Below are 22,749 nucleotides of genomic sequence, written 5' to 3'. Positions count from 1 at the left end.
TGGGGTTTCTCCATGTTGGTCAGGCTGGTCTTGAACTCCCGGTCTTAGGCGATCTGCCCGCCTCAGCCTCCCAAAGTGCTGGGATTACAGGCGTGAGCCACTGCGCCGGGCCAGTTTTATTATATAGTTTGTTAATACACATTATATGTTGTGATATTTCCATATATAGTTGTGAAATTAGGTGCATTTATCATTATTTAATAGAGTGGATCTAGGGTGGAAAATCTGATAATCCAGTGACTATCATTATATTGTTGCCTTTTGACTTCCTTTTCTCAGGTGAAGAATGTTTGATTGCACTGTCAAGATGAGTTTCAATCCTTCGCCTCTTTTGGTCTTGGGTACTTCAGTACAATTTTTTTGTTGGCAGGAGGGTACAGTGTGGGCATTCCTTTGCTTTAAGCAAGTAAAGTATTAATTAAGCACTCTTTTAATGAGATCAGTTTGATTTAGGATAAATAATTTGGCATTTCTTAATTATTGAAACCTTTTTTTTAGATTTAAATTTTTGTTAGAATTTAGATGACCTCTAAGGGTGTGTCTAATGTTACCTTTCATTGGTTTGTAGGAAATAACTTTTCAGAGAAGGAAGTGTGGGCTTATGGAAACAAATCTGGCAAGGTAAACATAGTGTAGTTTTATATGGTTAATAGCATTTCAGGTACAGAAAAGTACAAATCAGAAAAAGCAAACATTTTCCAAATTTTGGTAATGAATATGAATTATTGGTATAAACAGATAAATGATAAAGAATAAAATGTAGTTTCAGGAAATAAGATATTTAAATGTTACAATAAAACATTCTAAACTTTTTCCCCCTAGTGCAAGATAGTATTGGGCTAATTTGAGTTAATCAGCAGTTTTTTTTTGTTTGTTTTTTTTTTTTTTTTGAGATGGAGCCTTGTTCTGTCGCCCAGGCTGGAGTATAGTGGCGAGATCTTGGCTCACTGCAGCCTCTGCCTCCCGGGTTCAAGTGATTCTCCTGCCTCAGCCTTCTGAGTAGCTGGGACTACAGGCACACGCCACCACCCCTGGATCATTTTTGTATTTTTAGTAGAGATGGAGTTTCACCATGTTGGCCAGGATGGTCTCCTTGGCCTGCCTTGGCCTCCCAAAGTGTTGGGATTACAGGCGTGAGCCATCGCGCCCGGTCTAATCAGAAGTTTTTATCAGTGCTGTTCCATTGATAGATTCTGGCCCTCATAGAAACTTCTGGAAGAAATACTGTACTGTATTGCTGTTGCTGTAGAGATGTATACCTCTTTTTATAAAGTTATGTTCTAGATTTGCAACAAGTTAATTTTTGTAAGCGGAAATATTTTATTTTACCTTTTATTTAACCTTTATACCCATGTCCAGTGACTTAGAAAAACTGCTATTGCTGTATCTTTGCTTTTTTTCCTTTAGCTATTCTTATTTACTCTTCTATTGGCTAGGGATATGTTAAAAATACAAAAAACAAAGACCTTAAATTTTTACCTGGCAGCTGTTTGTTGTTTGTTTGCTTTAATCTTGTAAAACAAGACTGCTTTTAAGTAAGTTTATCAAATAGGAATTTTTAAAAAAGTTCTTTATGTCAGGAGACACTTTTCCTTTTATCAAATAGGAATTTTTAAAAAAGTTCTTTATGTCAGGAGACACTTTTCCTTTGCTTTTGAATGTACATGCATTTTAATTACATTATCATATTCTTATGTAAGGTATATATTTTCTAGGGTTTCTATGTTAAGACAGAGTAATGCTAGGCAAAGAGTTCTTTTTCCTTTTTTTTTTTTAATTTTATTTTTTTGAGATGGAGTTTCGCTCTTGTTGCCCAGGCTTAAGTGCAGTGGCACGATCTCGGCTCACCGCAACTTCTTGCCACCTGGGTTCAAGCGATTCTCCCACTGCAGCCTCCCGAGTAGCTGAGATTACAGGCATGGGCCACCACACCCAGCTAATTTTGTATTTTTAATAGAGACAGGGTTTCTCTATATTAGTCAGGCTGGTCTTGAACTCCTGACCTCAGGTGATCCACCTGCTTCAGCCTCCCAAAGTGCTGGGATTACAGGCGTGAGCCACGCGCCCAGCCAAGTTCTTTTTCAACTTGATGCCAAAAGCATGAGCCATAAAAGGAAATATTAGTAAACTGGACATCATGAAAATTAAGAATTTTTACCTGATTAAAGACTGTTAAGAGGATGCAAAGACAAGCTACAAACTGGAAGAACATTTGCAAATCACATATCTGGCAACTGATTGTATCTAGAATATTTAAAGAACCCTCAACAGTTTAAAAAAAAAAAGTCAATTCAAAAAAATGGGCAAAATTAGACAGGTGTGGTGGCTCTCATCTGTAGTTTCAGCTACTAGGGAGGCTTGAATAGGAGCATCGCTTGAGATGGGGATTTTGAGGCGGCAGTGAGCTGTGACTTCACCACCGCTACACTCCAGCCTGGGCCACAGAGCAAGGCCCTGCCTAAAAAATAAGGGCAAAAGACACCAAGAAACATTTCACTGAAGAGGACATACAAATAGCAAACAAGTGACAACATGTTCAACATTATTAGACATCAGGGAAATGCAAATTGAAATCACCGTAAGATATCACTACTTACCTGTTAGAATAGTTAAAATTAAAAAAACTGTAACACTAAATGCTGCCAGGGACTTGGAGAAACTTGAACTTTTATACATTGCTGGTGGGAATGTATAATTGTATATCCACTATAGATAGAAAACAGCTTGCTTTTTTTTTTCTTTTTTAAGAGACAGGGTCTCTCTCTCTTTGTGTCTACATATATCTTTTAAAAATTTTTTATAAAAATAGAGATGGGGTCTTGCTGTGTTGCCCAGGCTGGTTTTGAACTCCTGGGCTCAAGCAGTCCTCCTGTCTTGGCCTCCCAGAATGTTGGGATTACAGGTGTGAGCCACCACATCCAGTCTATTTTTTTTGTTTTTTTTGAGACAGAGTTCCGCTCTTGTTGCCCAGGCTGGAGTGCAGTGGTGGGATCTTGGCTAGATTGTCCTTCTTTATGGGTGGTCTTGGCACCTTTGTATAAAATTCTTGAAATGACAGAATTACAGTGATGGAGAATAGTGGTGTTCAGGGATTTAGGGACATGAGGGATATGTGGTATACAGTAACATGAGGGATCTTTGTGGTGATGAACAGTCTTGTATCTTGATAGTGATTACACACATCTGCAAATGTGATAAAATTGCATAGAGTTATACACCCACCCCCCCCCCCCACACACACACACACACAACCGAGTGATGACATCTGAATACAGTAGTCCTCCCTTATCTGCATGGGATAAATACTTTCCAAGACCTCCAGGGGATGCCTGAAACCACTGATAGTCCTGAACCTTGTGCTTTCTCCTATATATGCATACCTATGATAGGATTTAATTTATGTTAGTCTAACAACAATAATAACACAGAGCAATGATAACAATATGCCGGCATTACTACTCTTGCACTCTGGGGCCATTATTAAGTAAAATAAGGGTTACTTGAAACCAGGCACTGCTAAGTGATAGGCAGGAGGGACAGTGTGAGATTTCATCATGCTACTTAGAACAACACAAAATTTACAACTTAGGAATTGTTTATTTTTTCTGTTATTTTCCATTTAATATTTTCAGACTGGGCTTGACCACAAGTAATTGAAAATGCCGATGGGGCAGGGGTGGGGGGACTATAAAGTATATGGATTGCACCACTGTCGATTTCTTGGGTTTGATATTGTGCTAGAGTTATACAGGGTGTTAGCATTTGGGAGAAACTGGGTAAAGGTTACAGGAAACCTTTCTGTACAGTTCCCCCTTGTCCTATGGGACTGTATTTCAGAATAAGAAGTTTTTAAAAAAAGTCACCTGTAACCATGCATTATTATCAATCCTTTTTCAAATAAAGAACTTAATATTTGTAGTTATAAATACAACTACATGGTTGCTCTATTAACATGTTCAAGGAACAGGAAGTTGAAATAGAGAAACCTGTAGTTTAAGACAGAAATTCCGTCTTAATTTTATTTTTTTGTTATTATTTTTGAGACAAAGTCTTGCTGTGTTGCTCAGGCTGGTCTTGAACTCCTGGACTCAAGCAATCCTCTTGGCTTGGCCTCCCAGAGTGCTGGGATTACAGGCATGAGCCACCACGCACAGCTACCATCCTAATTTTAAATAGCAGTCTTCATTTAAACTTGTGTGGTTGCTTGGAAAATGGAATAAAGGATCAGCATAAAAGTTTATTTATTGAGCCCTTATATGCCGTTGTATTGAGATGCTGCGGGAACGCAAAGGTAATTGATGTGATATCCCTACCTTGAGGTGCTACATTTAGTAGCACTATGTAAACAACGTTTTTTATTTATTTATTTATTTAATTTTTTTTTTGAGACAGTTTCGCTCTTGTCGCCCAGGCTGAAGTGCAGTAGCACCATCTCGGCTCACTGCAACCTCTGCCTCCTGGGTTCAAGCGATTCTCCTGCCTCAGCCTCCCGAGTAGCTGGGGTTACAGGCGTGTGCCACCAGGCACAGCTAGTTTTTTGTATTTTTTAGTAGAGACGGGGTTTCTCCACGTTGGTCAGGCTGTTCTCGAACTCCTGACCTCAGGTGATCTGCCCGCTTCAGCCTCCCAAAGTGCTGGGATTACAGGCGTAAGCCACCGTGCCTGGCCTTTTTTTTTTTTTTTTTTTTTTTTAAAGTGAAACAAGTTTATTAAGAAAGTAAAGGAATAAAGACTGGCTACTCTGCCAGGTGCAGTGGCTCTCGTCTGTAATCCCAGTACTTTGGGAGGCCGAGGCGGGCGGATCACCTGAGGTTGGGAGTTTGAGACCAGCCTGACCAACATGGAGAAACCCCATCTCTACTAGAAATACAAAATTAGCTGGGTGTGGTGGTGCACACCTGTAATCCCAGCTACTCAGGAGGCTGAGGCGGGAGAATCGCTTGAACCCGCGAGGTGGAGGTTGCAGCGAGCTGAGATCATGCCACTGCACTCCAGCCTGGGGAACAAGAAATTCCGTCTCAGAAAAAAAAAAAAAGAATGGCTACTCCATAGGCAGAGCAGCCAGTAGTAAATGAATTTTTTTTTTCTTTTTTTTTTTTGAGATGGAGTTTCACTCTTGTTGCCCAGGCTGGAGTGTAGTGGCACGATCTCAGCCCACCGCAACCTCGGCCTCCCAGGTTCAAGCGATTCTCCCGCCTCAGCCTCAGAAGTAGCTGGGACTACAGGCGTGTGCCACCACAACCGGCTAATTTTTGTATTTTTAGTAGAAATGTTGTTTCACCATGCTGGCCATGGCTAGTCTTAAACTCCTGACCTCAGGTGATACACCCGCCTCGGCCTCCCAAAGTGCTGGGATTATAGGCTTGAGCCATCGCTCCCAGCCAGTAAATGAATTTCTAAGGAAATAGTCTGGCAGGCCGGGCTTAGTGACTCATGCCTGTAATCCCAGAGTGACTCACGCCTGTAATCCCAGAACTTTGGGAGGCCGAGGCAGGTGGATCACCTGAGGTCAGGAGTTTGAGATAAGCCATGGCCAACATGGTGAAACCCCATTTCTACTAAGAATACAAAAATTAGCTGGTCGTGGTTGCACATGCCTGTAGTCCCAGTTGCTTGTGAGGCAAATCACATCAAATCTTTGTTTTGTTTTGAGACAGGGTCTTGCTCTGTTGTCCGGACTAGAGTGCAGTGGCAACATCAAGGCCCGCTGCACCCTCCACTTCCTCGGCTCAAGCAATCCTCCTCCCTCCCTCCCTATAGCTGGGACTATAGGCATGCACCACCACACCTGGCTAATTTTTCCTTTTGATAAAGTCTTGCTCTGTCACCCAGGCTGGAGTGCAGGGATGTGATGATGGCCTACTGCAGCCTCAATCTCCCAGACCCAAGTGAACCTCCCACCTTATCTGCCTCCGTAGCTGGGACTACAGGCACGCGCCACCATGCTCAGCAAATTAAAAAAAATTTTTTTTTGGTAGAGACAGGGTTTTGCCACGTTGCCCAGGCTGGTCTTGAACTACTGGGTTCAAGCAATCCTCCCACCTTGAACCATGTGTCAAATCTTTGCCCCAGCCAAATATTTGAAGAAAATAAAGAAATTGGGTAATTTCTCCAATCTAACCCTCCTAAATGCTGATGGAGCTGGCTAGTAGAAACAGTTTTATTTTCTGATAAAACTCGAGCCCTTTCCTTCTCAGCCTTCTCAGAGTTTATTTTTTTTCTTTTGGGAGTTCTTAGTTTCCTTTGAGAATCTAGCAAGAGTTAAAAGACCTCCTGAGAAAAGCACACATGCATAATTTGGTATGTAATTTCGGAGGGTTCTTTGATCTGTGGAGTGAAGCTCATTTATGCAGATCTAATGCTGTCTCTTAAATCAGCAAGTTTGATGCCCATTTTGTGTACTATTGGGATGCTGTTTTGGTGTTTCAGGAACTTGTAGTCTGTAGAAAAATAAAAGTTCCATAATACAGCTGCTTTAGGGTTGTTATTACAGAAAAAGTCAAGAGAAGCTGGCTTCTACCAGTCTGGTTCATGGAGGGCTTTGAGGAGGAGTTCATGGCACTTGTGCTTGACCTTTAAAAGATCTGTCAAATTTGACACACAGAAAAAGGAAAATATTTAAGGCTGAGGGAAAAGAACAAGCAAGACAAAGTTTATGCTGAAAGAAGTTGTGTAGTTGGAGTATATGATAAACTGAACTAGTGGGAAAACTATCTGGAAAGGTTGACGTTTGTGGAAGACCTTAAAAATGCTGGGGTAGGCCAGGTGCAGTGACTCACACCTGTAATCCCAGCACTTTGGGAGGCCAAGGCAGGAGAATCTCTTGAACCCAGAAGGCAGAGGTTGCAGTGAGCTGAGATCACGCCACTGCATTCCAGCCTGGGTGACTGAGTGAGACTCTGTCTCAAAAAAAAAAAAAAAAAAAAAAATTTGACCGGGCACGGTGGCTCACGCCTGTATTCCCAGCACTTTGGGAGGCCGAGGCAGGTGGATCACGAGGTCAGGAGATCGAGACCATCCTGGCCAACACAGTGAAACCCGTCTCTACTAAAAATACAAAAATTAGCCGGGTGTGGTGGCACGTGCCTGTAGTGCCAGCTACTCGGGAGGCTGAGGCAAGAGAATCGCTTGAACCCAGGTGTTCAAGAACCTCTTGAACCGAGGTTGCAGTGAGCCAAGATCGCCACTACACTCCAGCCTGGTGACAGAACAAGACTCTGTCTAAAAAAAAAAAAATGCTGGGGTGTGACATTATATGTGTGTGTGTGTGTGTGTGTGTATATATATATATATCAACGAAACTCTATATATATATGGGGTTTCGTTGATCGACACTAGTTTATATTAGTTGGTAATACAATATAGCTACTTCACCACAATATTATACACATTCTTCCCCCTTCTTACATATTTTTCTTTTCCATTTACTTGTTTAAGCAAGTGACACTTGTTGAGACACCTTCAGTGTCTCATCAAGGTCCTTATTTTTCTTTCAAAGTTTTTGTTGTTGTTGTTGTTGTTTTCGAGATGGAGTCTCACTCTGTCGCCCAGGCTGGAGTGCAGTGGCGTGATCTCGGCTCACCGCAGCCTCCGCCTCCTGGGTTCAAGCAATTCTCCTGCCTCAACCTCCTGGGTACGTGGGACTACAGGCGCCCGCCACCACACCTGGCTAATTTTTTGTATTTTTAGTAGAGACGGGGTTTCACTGTGTTGGCCAGGATGGTCTCGATCTCCTGACCTCGTGATCCGTCCGTCTCACCCTCCTAAAGTGCTGGGATTACAGGCGTGAGCCAGTGTACCCGGCCACACCCGGCTGATTTTTGTATTTTAGTAGAGACGGGGTTTCTCCGTGTTGCCCAGGCTGATCTTGAACTCCTGAGCTCAGGCAGTCTGCCCGCCTCGGCCTCCCAAAGTGCTGGGATTACAGGGGTGAGCCACCATGCCCGGCCTCATACAAAATATTTTTGAATGAGCTGGATTCAAACATTTTCTCTGTAGGAATGGTGAAAATGTCATTATCAGGAAAATGATCTAGCTGTATTATCTATAATACAGCCACCACGCCCACCCCTGAAGTATTTTCTTTAATGAACAACTCTGTCATGACTATAGCTTTTCTGTATAATTTAAAAAATTACTACAAAAATTAACATTGTTTTCTTCTTGGCTTTTCCTCCCACATCTCTGAAGTTCCTGTCTGGTCCTCTGCCCTAGCAGCCTTAAATTTCCTACCCAGCTTTCTGACCGTAGTTTCCAAAAGAGAATACTAAGTTTCACTTATTTGCAATAGCAGAACCAAGACAGCTAGACTTCATTAATCTTCAAACTTGTCATTTAACAAAGTTTAGGCCTGGTGCAGTGGCTCACGCCTGTAATCCCAGCACTTTGGGAGACTAAGACAGGAGGATCGCTTGAGCCCGGGAGTTGGAGGCTGCAGTGAGCCATGAGTGCATCACTGCCCTCCAGCCTGGTTGACACAGCAAGACCCCCTCTTAGAAAAACAATGTTTAAATTAGATCTACATAGAGAATGAATATAAAATTAATGTTGATACGATGATCCCTTTTCTACTTAGGTCCTGGGGAGCCTGTGGGGTCATATGATCCTTTGATTTTGTCACTTTTTTTGAGGATGTGTCAAATATATTTAAAAGACGGAGTTTCACCATGTTGGCCAGGCTGGTCTCTAACTCCTCACCTCACCCGCCTCAGCCTTTCGAAGTGCTGGGATTGCAGGCGTGAGCCACTGCACCTGGCCAAGACCACCGCATTTTATACCACTGCACACTGTCTGTTAAACTCTGAAGTCTTTGTAACTTTTGGAAGGGGAACTAATAACTATTGGTGATGGCCGCATCTGGTATTTTGAGTCTGTTTGCCATCTTTTGGGCTTTAGGATTCTAAAACTAAATTACTTATTTAAGGTTTATATAGAGAGAGGAGTGTTATTCCGAGGTCTTCCTTGATACTCTTTCACCCTAGGTAAACAGAGGATTGTATTTCCCTATTTTTTTGTATTTAGCAGTGCGTAAGGTTTATATTATCCTCATTAGTACTTTAGGCTGTGCTAATTTCTTTTTTCTGTTCATTCTTTTTTCTTCTTTTACTTGGCACTGACAAAGCTCAGAATAATTTCTGATTTTCAGACTGCTGTGAACATTTATGGTATGATAGTTCCCCTAGGAAAATACTGTATTTTTGCTATCTTCTCTGGTTATTTCTACATCTCTCCCTTAGGATGACACCTTTGCTCTTCTTCTGCCCTGAGCATTTGCCAAATGGATACAACAAAATTCTCGTTATCCAGTTTGGTTTATATTTAACTCTTGCAGGTGCAGCAGTGGCACAGACGAGGGTATTGTGTTGCCTGCTACCCTCTTCAGCCTCTAAGCCATATGGCATGGCTATTGGGGAAGCAATATGACTGTGATAGGATTTTTGTTTTTAAATAAACCTTTTTAGAAGAGTTTCAGATACACAGAAGAACTGTGAGAATAGTACAGTGAGTTCTTACATACCCTGCATTCAGTTTCTCTTATTTTTAACCTTTCCCCCACCCCCCAGCCCCCGTGAGACAGTCTCCCTCTGTCAGCCAGGCTCACTGCAACCTCTGCCTCCTGGGCAGAGGTGATTCTCCTGTCTCAGAGTCCCGAGTAGCTGGGATTACAGGCACGCACCACTACACCTGGCTAAATTTTTTTTTTTTTTTTTTGACGAAGTCTTGCTCTGTCGCCCAGGCTGGAGTGCAGTGGTGAGATCTCGGGTCACTGCAAGCTCTGCCTCCCGAGTTCACGCCATTCTCCTGCCTCAGCCTCCCGAGTAGCTGGGACTACAGGCGCCTGCCACCATGCCCGGCTAGTTTTTTTGTATTTTTAGTAGAGGCGGGGTTTCACCATGTTAGCCAGGATGGTCTCGACCTCCTGACCTCGTGATCTGCCCTCCTCGGCCTCCCAAAGTGCTGGGATTACAGACGTGAGCCAACACGTCCAGCCTCATACTATTTTTAAATGAGCTGGATTCAAACATTTTCTCTGTTGGAATGGCGAAGACATCATTATCAGGAAAATGATATAGCTGCATCATCTAAGAGTGATTTAAATAGATAAATTATAACCTAAATAATTACGTCTAAGTTGCTGGGTGCACATTTTTACAATTAGTTTAATTTGGAGACTGACACTGTTCAGAGCCAGATGTTCTCTGAATTCTTTATTATTTATTTTGAAATGTTCAAGGTGATACTTAGTTTTAACTGCCTTGACAGTGTTCTTTTTTGTTTTTTTTGAGACAGGGTCTTGCTCTGTTGCCCAGGCTGGAGTGCAGTGGCACAATCTCAGCTTACTGCAGCCTCTGCCTCCCAGGTTCAAGCAATTCTCCCACCTCAGCCACCTGAGTAGCTGGGATTACAGGCGCACCACCATGCTCAGCTAATTTTTGTATTTTTGGTAGAGACGAGGTTTCACCATGTTGGCCAGGCTGGTCCTAAACTCCTGACCTCAGGTGATCCACCCTTCTCAGCCTCCCAAAGTGCTGGGAATACAGGTGTGAGTTACCACGCCTGGCCAACAATGTTCTAAGTTAGTTACATTAGCCATAATATGTAAGATAGAAATTTGCTCATTTGTATATAAGAAGATTCTGAAAAAGTTTTAAGCGCTGGGTGCAGTGACTTAACTTCTGTAATCCCAACATTTTGGGAGGCCGAGGCAGGAGGATTGCTTGAGTCCAGGAGTTTTGAGACCAGCCTGAGCAAGATGGTGAGGTCCCCTCTCTCCCACTTTGAATAGGTATGCTATAAGTAACAGGCCTTTGAAACTCATTTTGGGTATTGTGAAGATGTTATATTACAGTGTCCTTTTATTTATTTAATTTGAGGTTAAATGTAATTTTTTTTTTTTTTGAGACGGAATCTCGCTCTGTCGCCGAGACTGGAGTGTAGTGGCGCAATCTCGGCTCACTGCAAGCTCCGCCTCCCGGGTTCATGCCATTCTTCTGCCTCAGCCTCCCGAGTAGCTGGGACTACTGGTGCATGCCACCACGCCCGGCTAATTTTTTGTATTTTTAGTAGAGACGGGGTTTCACCGTGTTAGCCAGGATGGTCTCAATCTCCTGACCTCGTGATCCGCCCACCTCGGCCTCCCAAGCTGCTGGGATTACAGGCGTGAGCCACAGCGCCTGGCCAATTAAATGTATTTTATTTTTAGACAACTATGTGACGTGTTTTTTTTTTAAAAACAATGCCTCCATTCCAAATCAAAATAAATGAAGAGTTCAAGATGACATCAGTTCCATTTGTTTTAAGTTCTGGTGTTGTGTGAATGACAAGCAGCAGCCAGTTATGACGGCAGGTGATCCAAAGTAATTGCCAAATTTGTTAACATTTTTCCATCTCTAAACCATCCTTAAAGAAAAACATATATGGTGTCACACCATTCTCATGGTAGTCCTAGGCTGGAGTGCAGTGGTGCAAATTTGGCTCACTGCAACCTCTGCCTCCCGGGTTCAAGCAATTCTCCTGCCTCAGCATCCTGAGTAGCTGGGACTACACGCATGCGCCACGACATCTGGCTAATTTTTGTATTTTAGTAGAGACAGGGTTTCACCATGTTGGTCAGGCTGTTTTCAAACTCCTGACCTCGTGATCTGCCCACCTCGGCCTCCCAAAGTGCTGAGATTACAGGCGTGAGCCACCTCGCCCAGCCTAATTTTTGTATTCTTAGTAGAGACTGGGTTTCACCATGTTGGCCAGGCTGGTCTTGAACTCTTGACCTCGTGATCTGCCTGCCTTGGCCTCCCAAAGTGCTGGGATTACAGGTGTGAGCGACCGTGCCCGGCCCTATTATTATTAATTAATTAATTTTTATTTTTATTTTTATTTTTTTGAGACGGAGTCTTGTTGTGTCTCCCAGGCTGGAGTGCAGTGGCATAATCTCAGCTGACTGCAACCTCTGCCTCCCAGGTTCAAGTGATTCTTGTGCCTCAGCCTCCTGAGTACCTGGAATTATAGGCACATGCCACCATGCCTAGTTAATTTTTGTATTTTAGTAGTGGTGGGGTGTCACCATGTTGGCCAGGCTGGTCTTGAACTGCTGATCTCATGATCTACCCACTTCAGCCTCCCAAAGTGCTGGGATTACAGGCATGAGCCATTGCCCCCGGCCTGTTCTTTAATTTTTTTTTTTTTTTTTTTGAGACGGAGTCTCGCTCTGTCGCCCAGGCTGGAGTGCAGTGGCGGGATCTCGGCTCACTGCAAGCTCTGCCTCCCGGATTCACGCCATTCTCCTGCCTCAGCCTCCCAAGTAGCTGGGACTACAGGCGCCCGCCACTACGCCCGGCTAATTTTTTGTATTTTTAGTAGAGACGGGGTTTCACCGTTTTAGCCGGGATGGTCTCGATCTCCTGACCTCGTGATCCGCCCGCCTCGGCCTCCCAAAGTGCTGGGATTACAGGCGTGAGCCACCGCGCCCGGCCTATTTTTTTCTTTACAGACAGGGTCTTGCTCTGTCACCTAGACTGGAGTGCAGTGGTGTGGTTATAGCTCACTGCAGCCTCAGCCTCCTGGGCTTAGGTGATCCTCCTGCCTCAGCCTCCCAAGTAGTTGGGACTACAGGTGCACGCCATTGCGCCTGGCTAACTTTTAAAATTTCTTGGCCAGGTGTCCACTAATCTTAATCGTTTCTAGCGTTTGATTTAAAGTGAGACCACTTGAACATTTAGAGGCCATTCTAGGGTTATTATTTGACTTAATTTCAGTATTGTTGTGTCTCAGGATAATTGGGAGTCCTGAGAATCAGGGAGACAGACAGGAACTGGCAGTTGGTGGAGCAGTCAGAACACACACAACGTTTATTAAGCTTGCTTTCTCATATGGGCACAATTCGTGGTGCCCCAAAACAATTATAATAGAAAAACCAAAGATCACTGATCACAGATCACCATAACAAATATAGTAATAATGAAAAAAACTGGCCAGGCGCGGTGGCTCACGCCTTTATCCTGTCACTTTGGGAGGCTGAGATGGGTGGATCACTTGAGGTCAGGAGTTTGAGACCAGCCTGGTCCACGTGGTGAAAACCTGTATCTACTAAAAGAATACAAAAATTAGCCAGACATGGTGGCATTTGCCTGTAGTTGCAGCTATTTGGGAGGCTGAGGCATGAGAATCTCTCAAACCTAGGAGGTGGAGGTTGCAGTGAGCTGAGATTGTGCCACTGCACTCCAGTCTGGGTGACAGAGCGAGACTCTATGTCCAAAAAAAAAAAAAAAAAAAAAAGAAGAAATACTGTGAGAATTACCGAAATATGACACAGAGACATCAAGTGAGCACATGATGTTGGAAAAATGGCACTGATAGACTTGCTTGATGAACCTTCAATTTGTTAAAAACACAGTAACTGAAGTGCATTAAAACAAGATGTGCCTGTGAATGAAACATAAATAAATTTTGTGTTTAATAGACTTGGGTTACATTTCCAGGATGTCTCATTATGTGTATGCAAATATTCCAAAATCTGAAATCCAGAATGTTTTTGGTCCCAAGCATTTTAGATAAGGGATACTCAACCTGTGGTACATTTATTATTATTTTTTTGAGCTGGAGTAACTCTGTTGCCCAGGGCTGGAGTGCAGTGGCATGATCTTGGCTCACTGCAACCTCCGCCTCCTGGGCTCAAGCGATCCTCCTGCCTCCGCCTCCTGAGTGGCTGAGATTACAAGCATACACCACCATGCCCGGCTAATTTTTGTATTTTTAGTAGAGACGGGGTTTCACTGTGTTGGCCAGGTTGGTCTCCAACTCCTGACCTCAAGTGATCCGCCCGCCTTGGTCTCCCAAAGTGCTGGGATTACAGGCATGAGCCACCGCGTCTGATCCTGTGCTACATTATATCACTAGCACATAACACAATACTGGGCATATATAGATACTCAGCAAATATATTTTGAATGAATCACAGAGTTTAAGTTTCCTCTGTCTTCCTTTCTTGACTTCTATTGAAAATGTAAGCTGGAGCTGGACGCGGTGGCTCACACCTGTAATCACAGCACTTTGGGAGGCCGAGGCGGGTGGATCACGAGGTCAGGAGTTCAAGACCAGCCTGGCCAACATAGTGAAACCCCGTCTCTACTAAAAATACAAAAATTAGCCGGGCATGGTGGTGCACACCTATAGTCCCAGCCACTTGGGAGGCTGAGGCAAGAAGAATCGCTTGAACCCAGGAGGCAGAGGTTGCAGTGAGCCGAGATCGCGCCACTGCACTCCAGCCTGGGCAACAGCGCGAGACTCTGTCTCAAAAAAAAAAAAAAAAAAAAAGAAGAAGAAAATGTAAGCTGTATAGATGAGACTGCAGTAACTCATCTACTGTGAAGGACCATACAAAACAAGTGTATTAGCTATCTAATACATATTTAGGATTATTTCGGTATAAGTCTGGATAAGGAGCAACAAAGGGTGTGGAGGGGAGTCTGTGTGGTTTTTACAGGTAAGGATTTAGGCTTTTAGTCTGAGTGAGGCATTCATGGTTATTGTTGGTTAGTACTAACATTTGATGTTTATTTAATTAGTGTAAAAGGCTTTCAGAAGGTAGAAAGTATGAGTTAAAATTGGTCTTCAGATTACTGGTTGTAAATCAGACTGTATTTTAAGGTTAGTCATTTTTATAAAGAGGAAGTTGTTTAGCAATTCTGAATCCTATATTGTTGCAATATCAATAGCAGATGCTAGAATCCTATTAGTAATCCCAAGGTAAAATGAATTCTAAAAGTGCAATCTTGAATTATTCAACACTTGGTATCCAAATTATATGAAATATAATCATCCATTTTATGATTTTGAATAGAACTGTAGGTTGTTTTCTTAAATAAGAGTTGTTCTTCCTCCGCCTTCTCATTTTGAGTCCCTGGAATCTGTTCTATTTTTACTTGGGGATCTACATACTAAAGCTGTCTCTGATTTCATGCTCTGAAGATCAACAAGAGACCTTCCCTTGTAAGATGAGAATTGTGTAGTAGGTGACTATTAGAAGAGTAAACAAGTCTTAAGTCTGTAAACATTTTTTCAGTAAATGCAATGGAGTACCAGATATCTCTCGTTACTATGACTAAAGAAAGTTCAATGGTAAATTCAGTAGCTGTTTATTTGCCTTGATAAGTAATTGCTAGAAGTAATAGTAATTGTTTTTATAGTGTTACCGAAGGTTTATTTACTGTATGTGTGATTTTTAAAGTTTTAAAGGGATCAATGAAAGTTATGTATAGGGAATATTTGTAAGTTACTGGAAATAAGCCAGGAATTGAATTTTTAAAAGTGCCTTTCAGAGTAAATTATATTTTCATTTTCTTTATAGAATGAAAGTGGAACAATATTGTTTAAAATTCAAATTGAGCATCATTTGTACTTTTCAGGCCATTAGAATCTGCTCGAGGCTTGTGTGGGAAAGATTATTTGATTATTTATTAGATTACCTTTGGCTAAACATTGCAGAGAAAAGTTGTTGACACCTTTTCCCCTCAAACAAAGTAATAACCCCCTGAATCTAAAATAAAAGTTGGAAAAAAGTCATGAAAACTAAGTTGCTCATGAGGGGCTTGGACTTCCTTGTATTTCTGGCTGCCCATTTGGTGCTGTCACTCTGCTTGTCCCTTCTGGGCTTCTTGCTTTAATGTGACATCATATCAGACTTTTAGTTCTGAATTAATGTATTTGCAAAGCTCATTTAAAATTTTCAGTAATTCTGTTTGTAATTTGAAGTTTGATTCTTCATTTCTTAGCCACATAAACATTTTTGAATTTTGAATTGTGGGAAATTTCTGAAGGCAGGTAAAATACTTATTTTTTAATACCTTAACTCTCATCCCTTTTATTTTTTATTTATTTTTTATATATTTAGGGACAGAGTCTCTGTAGCCCAGGCTGCAATGAGGTGGCACAGTGATAGCTCACTGCAGCCTCAAACCCCTGGGCTCAAGTGATCCTCCTGTCTCAGCCTCCCATGTAGCTAGGACTATACCACCACATGGTACACCACCACACCCAGCTAAGTTTTATGTTTATTTTTTGTAGAGATGGGGGTTTCTCATTGTGTTGCCCAGGCCGGTCTCAAACCTCTGGCCTCAGCCTCCCAAAGTGCTAGGATTACAGGTGTGAGTCACCGCACCTGGCTGAGAGCTTTTTCCTTTCCTTTTTTTTTTTTGAGAGCTTTCTTCATATGGCGTTTCACTCTTGTCGTCCAGGCTGGAGTGCAGTGGCGCAATCTCGGCTCATTGCAGCCTCCGCCTCCCGGGTTCAAGAGATTCTCCTGCCTCAGCCTCCCGAGTAGCTGGCACTACAGGCCCCCATCACCACACCCAGCTAATTTTTTGTAGTTTTAGTAGAGACGGGGTTTCACTGTGTTAGTCAGGATGGTTTCAATGTCCTGACCTCGTGATCCGCCTGCCTCGGCCTCCCAAAGTGCTGGGATTACAGGCGCGAGCCACCGCGCCCGGCCGGGCTTCTTGATTGTAGATTCTTTGAGGTACAGACTTACTTTGTATAACACTCAGTGTTAACAGCTCTAAGTACTTAACTCTTGATTGCTTTTTTTCTTGGTATGCAATTTATTCCTCCTATGAACTTGCTTTACGATTGATTGAGAATAACCTTGGCTCCTCCTTCAATAAATGAAGGACTTAGTGCTGTTTTAGAAGCCTGTTGGAGTACCATTGTATTTGTTTGCCTGTTTTTGTCTTTTGGCTAATAGTCATTGCTATTTTTTTCCAGAAACATCCCCAGAGCTTTAGTCTCCAGAGTTTGTATCTGTTGCAACTGAGGAGAAATCTACCAGTATAAATGTTTCTGCTCCTCTTGAAAAAAGGTTTGAGGCTGGGCGCGGTGGCTCACGCCTGTAATCCCAGCACTTTGGGAGAATGAGGCGGGCGGATCATGAGGTCAGGAGATCGAGACCATCCTGGCAAACAAGTGAAACCCTGTGTCTAATTAAAGTACAAAAAATTAGCCGGGCGTGGTGGTGGGCGCCAGTAGTCCCAGCTACTCAGAAGGCTGAGGCAGGAGAATGGCGTGAACCCAGGAGGCGGAGCTTGCAGTGAGCCGAGATTGCGCCACCACACTCCAGCCTGGGCGACAGAGCGAGACTCCGTCTCAAAAAAAAAAAGAAAAAAGGTTTGAAGAAGAGTATAGTGAAATGCCACCCAAACCAACCTTCATATATATGAAAAGAGGGCTTGGACATAAAATTTTTTTTTGAGATGGAGTCTCACTCTTTTCATCCAGGCTGGAGTCCAGTGTCATGATTTTGGCTCACTGCAACCTCCGCCTCCTGGGTTAAAGCAATTCTTCTGCCTCAGCCTCCCTTGTAGCTGGGACTACACCTCAGGTGACCCACCCACCTGGGCCTCCCAAAGTGCTGGGATTACAGGCGTGAGCTACCGCGCCTGGCCTGGACTTGTTATTAATATAAACTTTTAGAGCCTTTAAGCCATAGGATCATGTAAAAATTACCTTATGTTGGTACTTTGAATTTAAAGTGCTGGCAGATCACACATAATCTTCAAATTGAATTCTACATTTAACAAATATTTGAGTGCCTACTTTTGTAAACATAGCAGTACATTAAAGAACAGGACATGAAAGTTTTGCTGGTACAAAGTTTTGCAGTTATTGTGGGAAGACAGATGGTAAACTAGATAATTAAATTAAAAATGTGGTGTATTAGGTAGTGATAAGTGCCCTGGAGAGAAAATAAAGCGGGGAAAGGGAATGAAAAGTTGAGGGTGGAGTACTGATGTCTTGAAGAGCTTTCCAGGCCAAGAGAAGAACAGTACAGGGGCGCTGCAGTGGGAGAGAGGCCTGGCAATGTCAGAGGAGCAGCAAAGGGTGTGGAGGGGAGGCTGTGTGATTTTTTACAGGTAAGGATTTAGGCTTTTACTCAGAGTGAGGTACCCGTGAGGTTTTTCAGCACTGGAGTGATATGACCTGATTTACATTTTAATGAGATCATTCTTGGCTTGCTATGCTGAGAATATAGACTGCACGGAGAGTCAGATGAGACATGATGCTAGCTTGGACCTGTATTGGAGCCGAGAACAAAGTGGTTTAATTCTTGGGTGTATTTCCTAAATAGAGCTGTTGGAATTTGCTGGTGGAATAGAATTCTTTTCTTTTTCTTTGAGGCAGGATCTCGATTTGTTGCCCAGCAGGAGTTCAGTGGCACAAACATGGCTCACCACAGCCTCGAACCCCTGGGCTCAAGCCTCAGCTTCCCCAGTAGCTGGGACCATAGGCATGCACCACTGCGCCTGACTAATGTTTAACATTTTTTGTAGAAATGGGGTCTCACTTTGTTGTCCAGCCTGGCCTCCTAAAATGCTGGGATTACAGGTATGAGCTACTGCGCCTGGCCTAGAAGGAACACAATATTTGAAGGGTAGAGTGTGTGAGAGAATGTGTCAAGGATGATTTCAGGGTTTTTGGCCTGAACATCTGAAAGGATGGAGTTGACATTAACTGAAATGGAAAAGAAAGACGCAGGACAAGGAGAGATAATCAGGGGCTTGGTTTTGAATATGCTACTTTTGATTTGTCTATTAGACACTGAAGTAGAGAAGTCACATAGGCAGCTTACTATATTTGATCTGGAATTCAGTGAGGAGGTTTAGCTTAGAGATATAAAGTGGGAAATTGTTAGCATATGGATTGCATATAAACTATGAAGTTGGATGGGCTCAATAAGGGAGTAACTGTAGATAGGTGAAGAAGATTGAGGACTAAGTCTTGGGACACACTGGCATTAAGAAGCCAGATAAGTAACCAGAAGCTAGTGAAGGAGTGTGAGCGGCGTCAGTGAGGTGTCAGAGGAGGCAAACCAGAATGCTGTGGCCTTTAAGCCAAGTGAAGAAAGCTTCAAGGGAAGAGAGATCAGCTGTGTCAAAAAAGAGTTTGGGTAAGATAAGGACTGATGAGTGACCACTAGAGGTGAATGGTACTTTGAGAAAGGCAGTTGCACTGGACGGATTGGTATGAGCCTGAGAGAATGGAAGGAGAGCAGCAAGTGGAGATAAGGAATGAAGACAACTCTTAAAGTTGTACCGTGAAGGGGTGTTGAGAAATGGTGCAGTAACTGGAGGGCTTGTGGGCTTCATTTGTGTATGTGTCTGCATGCGTGTGTGTGTAAAGTTGGAGAATTGCTAGTGGCATGCTTGATGCTGATGGGATTGAATTTAGTAGAGAGAAGAACCGATGACACAGGAGAGGGTAGGAATTTCTGGAGCAGTGTCTTTGAGGACATCTGAGTGGGAAGAATGAGATCAGATCTAATTACTGGCCAGTTTGGAAGCCTTATTAGGAGCAAGGGCAGTTGATCCAGAGTAACATGAGAGAAGGTAGAGAAGTAAATACATCGGCAGAGATTCAGGTTAGACGATATGTCTGGGTAAAATGGGGAACATTTTCATACTTATCTCATGATTTTTGTGAGTATTAAGTTTAATACTTTATAAAGGGATGATTACAGAACATAGTACCCAGTAAGCGTTGACTGAAATTGTTAAGTTTGTAATATTTATAAAGTTACAATGTGATTTGCATGACCAGCTTCTTTCAGTGTGTGACTAATACTCTGAAAATACTGGCTTTTCATTTGAGCCAGATGGCTCAGTCAGTAATTTCTAGTTATGCCATCTTTTTTTTTTTTTTTTTTTGTAAAGACACTGGGCACCAAAGGTGCTACTCACACAGAATATCAACTTAAAACTCACCCTGGAAAGACAAGATTTTCATAGTTCTAATCAGAAACATTGTAATTTTGTTATATTCATGTTATGGTTTTGAAGGTTTTGTTTTTTTTTTTTTTTTTTAAATACGTGAATTAAGGGGCCGGGTGTGGAAGGCCGAAATGGGAGGGTCACTTGAGACCAGGAGTTCAAGACCAGCCTGGTCAACATTGTGAGACCCCATCTCTATTTAAGAAAAAATAAAAAAAAATAGTATGTTGGGTATTAGTTTGTTCTCATGCTACTATAAAGAACTGCCCGAGACTGGATAATTTATAAAGGAAAGAGGTTTAATTCACAGTTCTGCATGGCTGGGGAGGCCTCTGGAAACTTACAATCATGGCAGAAAGGGAAGCAAACATCCTTCTTCAACATGGCGGCAGGAGAGAGAAGTGCAGTGCGAAGCGGGGAAAAGCACCTTATAAAACCATCAGATCTCGTGAGAACTCACTATCACGAGAACAGCATGGGTGAATGCCCCCATGATCTAATCACAGCCCATGAGGTCCCTCCCTCAACATGTAATTGTAGTTTTAGGACCAGTTGTAAAGTTAGTGCAGATAAAGTGGGAACATTAGAAGGAGAGTTGGAACCGGGAGATGCTTGGAAAATCTACTCAAACTCTCACTGGATTTAAGTATATTCCTATTTTGAAAATTCAGTAGCTATGTTCTCTAAGAACATCAGAACCTCAGTATCAGTTTAGGGCAAGACGGAGGATGCAAGGATGAAAGAGGGGATATAAATAAGTTTTATTAGGTTGGGCATGGTAGCTCATGCCTGTTACCCCAACATTTTGGGAGGCCAAGGTAGGAGGATCACTTGAGCCCAGGAATTTGAGACCAGCCTGGGCAACATAGGGGAGACCCTGTCTCTACAAACAGTTAAAAAAAGCCATATGCACCTGTGTTCCCAGCTAATCAGGAAGCTGAGGTGAGAGGATAGCTTGAGCCCACAGCCAGGGCTGCAGTGAGCTATGACTGCACCACTGCACTCCAGCCCGTGCAGCCCCAGGCTGAGAGAAGTGAGACTCCATCAAAAGAAGGAAAAGAAAAGAAAAAGGAAAAGAGAGAAGGAATACGTTTTATTGTTATTTTAGGAAAATTTGGCTTTGACTTTTTTTTTTTTTGAGATGCAGTTTTGCTCTTGTTGCCCAGGCTGGAGCGCAATGGCATGATCTCGGCTCACCGCAACCTCCACCTCCCGGGTTCAAGTGATTCTGTGGCCTCAGCCTCCCGAGTAGCTGGCATTACAGGCATGTGCCACCACCTGCCTAATTTTGTATTTTTAATAGAGGCATGGTTTTTCCATGTTGGTCAGGCTGGTCTCGAACTCCCAACCTCAGGTGATCCGCCCAAAAGAGTTAAGAGCTTGAGCCAGGCGCGGTGGCTCACGCCTGTAATCCCAGCACTTTGGGAGGCCAAGGCAGGTGGATCATCTGAGGGTAAGGAGTTTAAGACCAGCCTGGTCAACATGCTGAAACCCCGTCTCTACTAAATACAAAAAATTAGCCGATCGTGGTCGTGGGTGCCTGTAATCCCAGCTACTTGGGAGGCTGAGGCAGGAGAATTGCTTGAAGCCGGGAGTCGAAGGTTGCAGGGAGCCAAGATCGCACCACTGCACTCCAGCCTGGGCAACAAGAGTGAAATTCCGTCTCAAAAAAAAAAAATAGAGAAGCGCTTGGGTCTGAACCCACACATTGAGGCTCCAGCAATTAGGCACTTAACCTCTATGCTATGTGGCCTTTCTAAAATAAAATAATAGTAAATATAACCCAAGAAGAAACTTAAAAGGTGTCAATCTTCCACAAACTCAGGTTTAATCTCTTGATCTAACATGATGTTAATGTCGAAAAGAAAAAGCGTTCGTTGTTACTGTTGTTGAAAAATTTTCATAAAATGTAATATACATTCCTGATATTAAAAGGAAAGAATACCTGTAAAATAGAGGTGGATAATACCATTACTATGGTATTGTGACTGACTGAGAACTACTCCCGAGCGGTACCAGTCCCAGACATTTCCCCTGAGCAGGGAGTAGTGCTCGGTCAGTAGGCACTAGCACCGTCATTGTACAGGTCGTTAAGATACTTGCCCCTTCCTTGGTTATCTAGCCGCTGAAGGGATAATTATGTTTGGCACAAAGAGGATGGTGCTGCAGCAGAGCCTAGCTCTGGCATTTTTTCTGATTGATCGGCATCTATTCTATACCTGCTGTTAAATATTTTGACTCTCACTCCAGATCATCAAATTGTTTTGAGAGTAAATGAGTTGAAGCATGCATACTGCCTAGCTAGACCAGTGTCTGAGATAAATATAATACAGAGTTTGCTATTATAATTTAGAATTTTTATTGAGTATACTCTGCTGTCTATACACAGTTGGCTTAGGAAATGAATTGGGAAGCTTTTCTGTTTCATAGGATAGTTTAATAAAAGAATTACCTTTGAAATTACCTTTACTTACTATGAAAATGTCTGGGACTGGTATTTGGAGTTGAGGGGGGAGCTAACTGTGTAACTTATGCGAATCTTCGGAAGTTATTGGAGTGTTTTCTAATTCTGTTAGATGCTTTTGACAATTTATATTTTCCCAGAAAATCATCCATTGTATCTGTGTTTAAAATTTAGCAGCTTAGGATTTACTGGAAACATATTTTATACTTATTTTTATTTCTTCTCTATTATCTTACTTCCTTTTCAGTCCCTAATTTCATATAATTGTTTTTTTAGTCCAGCTAATAGTTTGTCTGTTTTTTTTCCCCTCCCATCAAAATATAGCGCCTAAGTTGTTTTCGTTTTTTTTTTTTTGAGATGGAGTCTCGCTCTGTCGCCTAGGCTGCAGTGCAGTAGCGCGATCTGAGCTCACTGCAACCTCTGCCTCCCAGGTTCAAGCAGTTCTCCTGCCTCAGCCTCCCCAGTAGCTGGGACTACAGGCACGTGCCAGCATGCCTGGCTAATTTTTTGTATTTTTAGTAGAGATGGGTT

At 42.7% G+C, this 22,749-nt stretch overlaps 1 protein-coding gene across 1 annotated transcript in view, besides 1 other annotated feature; it reads left to right on the top strand.

Moving 5' to 3' along the window:
• UBE2G1 (ubiquitin conjugating enzyme E2 G1) overlaps positions 1 to 22,749 on the top strand; it is a 97,417-nt gene that overhangs the window by 5,934 nt on the left and 68,734 nt on the right. The gene's annotated exons all lie outside the window — the stretch shown is intronic.
• Positions 1,802 to 1,851: a silencer, noted in NCBI's record as "silent region_8034". NCBI's record gives its function as "represses an Ori minimal core promoter by ATAC-STARR-seq in GM12878 lymphoblastoid cells {active_cell/tissue: GM12878}" and the evidence as "EXISTENCE:reporter gene assay evidence [ECO:0000049][PMID:35858748]".

This window comes from Homo sapiens, chromosome 17 (assembly GCF_000001405.40).
Source record: "Homo sapiens chromosome 17, GRCh38.p14 Primary Assembly".
In the NCBI taxonomy this organism is placed as follows: Eukaryota; Metazoa; Chordata; class Mammalia; order Primates; family Hominidae; genus Homo; species Homo sapiens.
This window is presented reverse-complemented; position numbering and strand designations above follow the sequence as displayed.